Raw genomic sequence first — 7,651 nt, 5'->3', positions numbered from 1 at the left:
ATTTACAAAGCCACGCTGATTAAAACAATGTGGTACTGGCACACGGACAGATCAACAGAACAGAATGAAAAGTCCAGAAAAAGATGAAGATACAGACTGGAATTTAGTGTATTGTGAAGGTGGCATTTCATATCAGTAGGGAAAAGATGCGTTATTTAATAAATGGTATGGCAACAACTAGGTAGTCTTCTGGGACAAAGTAAATTTGAGTTTAACCTTACACCTTACTTCAGGATAAATTTCAAATGAATCAAAGATTTGAATGTAAAACAATAAAAGTTCAAAGGAGCATGAGAGAATGATTTTATAATTTCAGAACAAGGATGACCTTTCTAAATATGACAAAATCAAGAAGTCTCAAATTTTTAAAAAGCTAATGTTTGACTATAAAAAAAACTATAAATTTTATTCATGGCAAAAACACTCAATAAAATTATCAACAGATTTTTTTTTCGAACTTGGCTGGGTGCTATGGCTCACACCTGTAATCCCAGCACTTTGGGAGGCCAAGGTGGGAGGATTGCTTGAGCTTAGGAGTTCGAAACCAGCCTGGCCAAAATGGTGAAACCCTGTCTCTACTAAAAATACAAAAATTAGCTGGGTGCAGTGGCAGCCACCTGTAACCCCAGCTACTCAGGAAGCTGAGACACCAGAATTGCTTGAACCCCAGAGGGGTGGGGGGTGAAGGGCAGAGGCTGCAGTGAGCGGAGATAGCACCACTGCACTCCAGCCTGGGCGACAGAGTGAGTCTCCGTCTCAAAAAAAAAAATTTTCTTTTGGAACTTCACAAACTCTAACATTCATATGAAACATGTACCCATTGAATCTAAAATAATACAAATTAAATAAAGTTCATATGGAAAAGTAAATATGTAAAAATGATTTATAAGAAAGTTGAAGGACAAATAATGAACTGAGAAAAATACTTTTAACTCATATCACAGGCAAAAGTAAATTTCCTTTAAAATGTAAGCTCTGAAAATTGATTAAAAAGATCAACACTTCACCCCTACCTCTGAAAATAAGTAAAGGATATAAAGCACACAATTCAGAGAGAAGGAAATACAACTCTTAAGTGTGTGGAAAGATGTTCACAATTAAAATACGAGAAATGCAAATTAAGACTTCACTAAGATCTCTTTTACACCTACCAGACTGGCCGTGATAAAAGAAATCCAATAATATACTATGTTGGCAAGGATATGTTGAAGCCAACATCACATTGCTGGAGAGTGTAAACTAGTTCTGCTCCCTTGAATGGCAATTAAAGTACATATGTATGTACTCTGTGTACCAGCAACTCCCTATTTCTAGGAATTTATCCTGCTGACATAATTATGCACCTGCAAAGTGATGTTAGTACAAAAATTGTTATTTGTAGCATTGTTTGTAATAGTAAAGAATTAGAAACAAACTAATTGTTAATTAATAGGGGACATTTAAATATATTGAGGTATACTCATCAATTCCATTCTTTGCAACCATGGAGAAGAATAAGAATGATCTTAGTGAGTTGCTAAGGAATGTTCTCCAAAATACATTGTTAGGTGCAAAAAGTGAGATGGAGAAGAACACAGTGAACAGTATGCTCCCATTTGTTGTTTGTTTGTTTGTTTCTTTGTTTTTGAGATGGAGTCTCGCTCTGTTGCCCAGGCTGGAGTGCAGTGGCACAATCTCTGCTCACTGCAACCTCTGCCTCCTGGGTTCAAGTGATTCTCCTGCCTCTACCTCCTGAGTAGCTGGGATTACAGGCACCTGCCATCATGCCCCACTAATTTTTTGTATGCTTCCATTTGTTTCTTAAAAAGGAGCAGGATGGGGTGACCATATACACACATTCATTTACAAATGAATAAAAATATCTCTGGAAAGAGACACTGGGTCCTCCAGAAGTGGGAGTCAGGAGAGAGGATGGCTGAAAGGCTGGAGACAGGGGTGGCAAAAGACTTTTCACTGTACATCCTTTTGTAACTTCTATAGTTAGGGTCATATGAATTTAAAATAAATTTTTAAAATAAAGTTTTTTAGAAAAACAAAAATTTACATGTGATTTCAGTCTTTGGGGGCAGAATATCTATTCATTTTGGGAAAATACATGAACTGGCCATTTAGTAATATCTTATAAAGCAAATACCCTCCAGTTTCTTTTTGGGGAACATTTAAGTAGCTTGAAGTGGATATTTGATCTTGTTGTTGTGATGAGGGCTGTGTTTCTGTAGGTTTTATTGTCCTTTAAAAAAACACACAAAAATAGAAAAACTATTTCTTTGCTCTATATGAGTTAGACTTCATTGTGTGTGATTGTGTGTGTCTGTGTGTGTGTGTGTGTGTGTTCTTATTTAATAGTAGTTCTCCAGACAGTCTAAGCTGAGAGTCTGGAGATATGTCCAGACATGATACCTGAAGGACCAATGGTAATAATTAACTGGGCTGGGTTAGCTGGCTGGGTCTAGCTGACCACGGTTATGATGTCCTCCACAGGTTACTTAAGCCTAAATGACTCAGGCTTTGGGAAGTGTGCTGACTGATGTTCGATTGTTGCTTTCCGATGTAATTGTCTTGGGACACTTAGGACAAGGCTTCATTCTTACAAATATGGGTAAGGAAGTAGACATCCCTACTGTCAACCATCTAGGCCAGCCATCGATCCTGACAGTGGAAATGAGAGAAAACTTCTCATTGGGCCTTGTGGTGGTTGGGCCAAACTTGTAACATACACATCCTCAGTGAATTCCTGGCTAGGATGAGGGATGTGGGGGGGTGCTCCAGCCTCTCTTCTGCAGAGACATGTAGGGAGGTAAGCAGGCAATGCTTTGAAACTGACTTTAGAATGGACTTGGGCTCTAGGGCTCTAAGAGAAACCCCCAATAGTAGAGATTATGTTATCCTCTACAGAATGCCCCCTCCATTTTCCCTGAACCTTCCCATCAAAAGATATGAACAATCTCCACTCTTCTATGAGAAATTAAGGGAACGTTAGGCCAGAGTGGTGGTGGGAAGAACAGCTTCTGTTGCTTCCCAAGGCCAGTGGTGGAAAGAACAGCCTCTAGCAGAGCACCATGAGTCTGAAGTACAATTGTGTTTGGTCCCATGGGGCAGCATGACATGAGACCCAAACAGAAGAGCTGGAGTCACAGCACCGAGACTGCACACACCCACATCGTATTCAGATCCCATATCCTGGGCACCAAGACTGCACACACCCACATCGTATTCAGATCCCGGGCACCGAGACTGCACACACCCACATCGTATTCAGATCCCAGATCCTGGGCACCGAGACTGCACACACCCACATCGTATTCAGATCCTGGGCTCTAACACTATTCCCCACTAAAAGGAATTGGGATCTTTTAGAGGGTAGGTGGTTCTATGCCTTGGAGAAAAAATGGAAAGTAAGGATGGCTATCAAGCATCCTGCTGTTGGCGGAAAATAAGATTGCTTTCAAGGATATCAGTGTAGCATTAAAAGAGGGGAGGGGGCAGATGAAAGCGCTTTCCACTGGCAAAGTGATCATCTGAACAGCAAAAAGAGGGAAGGAAATGAGGAGAAGAGGATGAAATATAGTTGATTAGAACAAGATAAGTTAATGAAAAGCCATGAATTCATGACACTAAAAAAGTTCATATAAGTTATACAAAAAGGTGGTTGTAATTAAAAGGTAAAATAATAAGATCTATTTGTTTTTATTATTCCAATAAGTTGAGGTATGGTTACATATGGATCTTTTATTTTTTGCTATTCATTGTATTTCTTTATAACTTATTACCATGTATCTGTTTCTAGCTATAGAAACAGGAAAGAAAAATCACGGGGACCCATGAGTAAGCTAAGAAGTCATGGAAACGGTAAGACAACCAAAAGGACAAGGTGGCACTGCTGGCCTCACTGACAATCAGATGGAAGATGAGCTTGGTGAGCCAGCCCTGGCAGGCATGTGGACCCAGTAACCAAGTAGATGGAACATTTTGCCAGGTGTTTCACAGTGATGGATTAGCTGAATGTCTTGGGGAGGAGAAAAACACGCAGACCCAATCTCTCATCTCCTGTGAAACCTCTAGATGACCCTACTAATTACAAGGTAATAAAAGGTATCTAGCAGTCTTAAATAATGCTCACAGACCAGATCCATATGTCACAATGACAGGACAATGGGTTATGTAACATTGGCCAAGTGAGACTTGCAATGTATAAAATTTTGGAGAGAGACACCAGGTTGCAATAAAACGGAAGACTGTGTAAAAGACCCAGACTTACAAATTTCACTGATGTAACAAGTGAAGATTAAGCCAAGAAAAAAAAAAAAAATGGCAGCCCAGCCTGTTGACCCAATGGCTCTTCAAAACCCTTGGAAAAAGTAATCAGTTTCCATGTCAAATTAAGAATTGAATAGGTAACCCACATCGTATCCTGGGTTATTATTACTTTTTGCTTCAACCTAGAAAGTTGTTGCACCCTAGGTAGGTATCAAAATAAATATATGAAAAGCTAAGAAGATATAACATTATAGAAATAACAAAGAAATAAATTAACCCATGGAACTGATGCTTTAAGAATAAGTATAGCCGGGCGTGGTGGCTCACGCCTGTAATCCCAGCACTTTGGGAGGCTGAGGTGGGCGGATCACGAGGTCAGGAGATCGAGACCATCCTGGCTAACATGGTGAAACCCCGTCTCTACTAAAAATACAAAAAAATTAGCTGGGCGTGGTGGCGGGCACCTGTAGTCCCAGCTACTCAGGAGGCTGAGGCAGGAGAATGGCGTGAACCCGGGAAGCGGAGATTGCAGTGAACCGAGATGGCACCTGTGCACTCCAGCCTGGGCGACAGAGCAAGACTTCATCTCAAAAAAAAAAAAAAAAAAAAAAAGAAACCAACAGGTATAAATGGCAACATAGTCATAAGTTATAATAATTCTGTTTTGTATATGTTTAATGTGTTTTCTTCCTGAGTTTGAAAGAGTCAAAAGTATATATTGCAAAATGTATAATTGCAATTTAAACTATGTAAAACAATGTGCTTATTTAAGTTTATAGCATATTAAAATATTTAAATATTGCTTTGTTTCTAATTATTATTTGATGTTTAATAATATCTTTTAAAAATATTTTTTATTAAATACCAGTGGTAGTGAGTCTTTCTCTCCAAGCCCAGACACCACTTGGTCATTGTTTCAGTTATCTACTTTTGTGTACCAACTATCCCAAAACTCGGTAAATTTTTTATTATATCCCTTGATTTCACAGGTCAAGAGTTCAGGCAGGGCTTGGCAGGGTAGTTCTTCTGCTTCACAGAGTGTCAGCTGGGAACACTCAGTAGTTTTCAGCTAGCAACTGGGCTTGGGATACAAGACAGATGTACTCAGAAGTCTAGTATCTTGGTGGGCATAGCTAGAGTGCTGAACTCAGCTGGGCCCTGTCTATGAAGTCTCAGGGCCTCTCCATATCGTCTCTCCAGGAGAATGGTCAGAAGACTTCTCACATGGCCAAGGTTCCCAGATATGAAAATGACAACAGCCTGTCCTTTTAAAGGCAGGCCCAAAATTAGTATAGTCACTTCTGTTACACTATATTGGTCAAAGCAGTCACAGACCAGACCACATTTAAGGTGTCAGCCTAAAGGGCTCTTGTATTAGTCCATGTTAATGCTGCTGATAAAGACATACCTTAGGCTGGGTAACTTATAAAGAAAAAGACGTTTAATGGACTCGCAGTTCCACGTGGCTGGGGAGGCCTCACAATCATGGTGGAAGACGAAAGGCGTGCCTTAAATGGCAACAGACAAGAGAGAAATGAGAGCCAAGTGAAAGGGGTTTTCCCTTATAAAACCATCAGATCTCGTGAGACTTATTCACCACCATGAGAGCAGTATGGGCTAAACCATCCCTGTGATTTAATTATCTCCCACTGTTCCCTCCCACAACAAGTGGGAATTATGGGAGGTAAAATTCAAGATGAGATTTGGGTGGGGACACAGCCTAACCATATCAGCTCTCTAAAGGAAAATTATATTTATTTGGAAATGGGCACTTTAATGGGAATATGTGTGCCAAAGTCAACTATGTGCTTATCAGGTAGGTAAAGAAAGACAAAGGTTTTGAAAGAAAGAAATGAGGAGGATTACTTAATTGTTTTGAGGTAATTGTCTTTGGCTACAAGGATCAATAACAAGGGTGTTGCCAGTCCAAGGTTGGACAGGCAGTTACTGGGCCTCATACAAGTATTTGTGTGTGTGTGTGTGTGTGTGTGTGTGTGTGTGTGTGTTAGAGTATGATCACCTTTGTTCAAGGTTGTGGTTTTTACACAGTCTTTTGTGATAGCTCCTGTTATCAGGTATTTGTACATGACAACCCTTCCTTCATGGCCTCCCCTGATTCCATTTGTGAGAATTTTTAGCATGTGGCTTTCTTTTGATTTTGACAACTTTCACATTTTCTCCTTTTAATTAAGATCTTTCTCTGAAAGCATGGCTGATTAATCACCCCATAGTTAGATTTTGATCATCCCTCAGTGCCGGAATGGACCTCCCAGTTTGTTGGTCTGGTCTCACACTGGAGAGAATGATGACTAGAAGTGAGTCACCAATCATGATAAGCAATGGGTGAAAACCCATTTAGCCACAGTTGTGCAACAAGGGATGTTTGGAGGGCATGGCTCTCAAGCTGTCTACCCAGTATCTATTGCTAAATTTAATGTTGTGTTTTCTGCAGGTGTTAGCTATCATCTCAAAGTGCTGGGAAAACATTATTTCATTAAGAGTTGTACTGCTATAGAAATTTGACAGGCAACAGGAATGAAGTTTAAAAAGGAAAATAATAATAATATAATAATCTTAATTTGTGTAATAGTTTTGAGTCACAAACCTGGGCTTTTATGGGTTTTGGGAAGATTTGGGAGTTGGTGGGAGAGAGGGGAGATAGCAGGGAGTCTCCTCTAGTGAGGAGGTTTGGAACTGGGTTGGGATATTTCCCTGAGAGATGGCTTCCAGGGAGCCTGGGCTGCCTAAAGCAGCGTGGCCCCGGCCCAGCCCAAGACAGCCTAACGGTGGAGCTGAATTCTGGGTTACCAGTACTATGAGAAGACCTGTTTTCTTGTTCAACTCAGAGACTTTGAAGGGCAGAATAAGACCAGAGTGAGCAGGGTGAGCCAGCAGGGAGAGGTGCTATTTTCTAGCTGAGCTTACCTTCTGCCTGCCTCCCAGCCTTGCACATCCACATACCCCACATGGCCTCCATGCATAAACCACTGTGGTCATTTAAGGCTCAGCTCCAAAGCAGTGTGACACAGCGGTTAAAAGCAAAGGCTTTGAAGTCAAATAGACCTAGGTCCAAATCCCAGCTCCAGAATTTACTATGTGACTATGGGTAAACCACTTAACCACGCTGAGCCTCGGTTTGCCCATACGACCTCATAAAATTATTACGAGATTCTGTGTGATAATGTACCTCATAGACTTAGCCCAGGGTCTAGGGCATAGTCATTACTTAATAATTAGTAGCCAAAAAAGCCCCCCTCTGCTCTCACTCTTCCACAGCCCACACTGGCCTCTCCCGTGTCCCCCATTCTGTCTTGTACCTAACTATGGAGTGACACCTCCTGTGATATTTCTGTCTCGGGTTGACACTGTATCTCTGCACTCCTCCCCAAAGGAG

Source organism: Homo sapiens, chromosome 1 (genome assembly GCF_000001405.40).
Source record: "Homo sapiens chromosome 1, GRCh38.p14 Primary Assembly".
Classification (NCBI taxonomy): domain Eukaryota; kingdom Metazoa; phylum Chordata; class Mammalia; order Primates; family Hominidae; genus Homo; species Homo sapiens.
The sequence above is the reverse complement of the archived record's forward strand: the minus strand, read 5'-3'. Positions refer to the sequence as shown.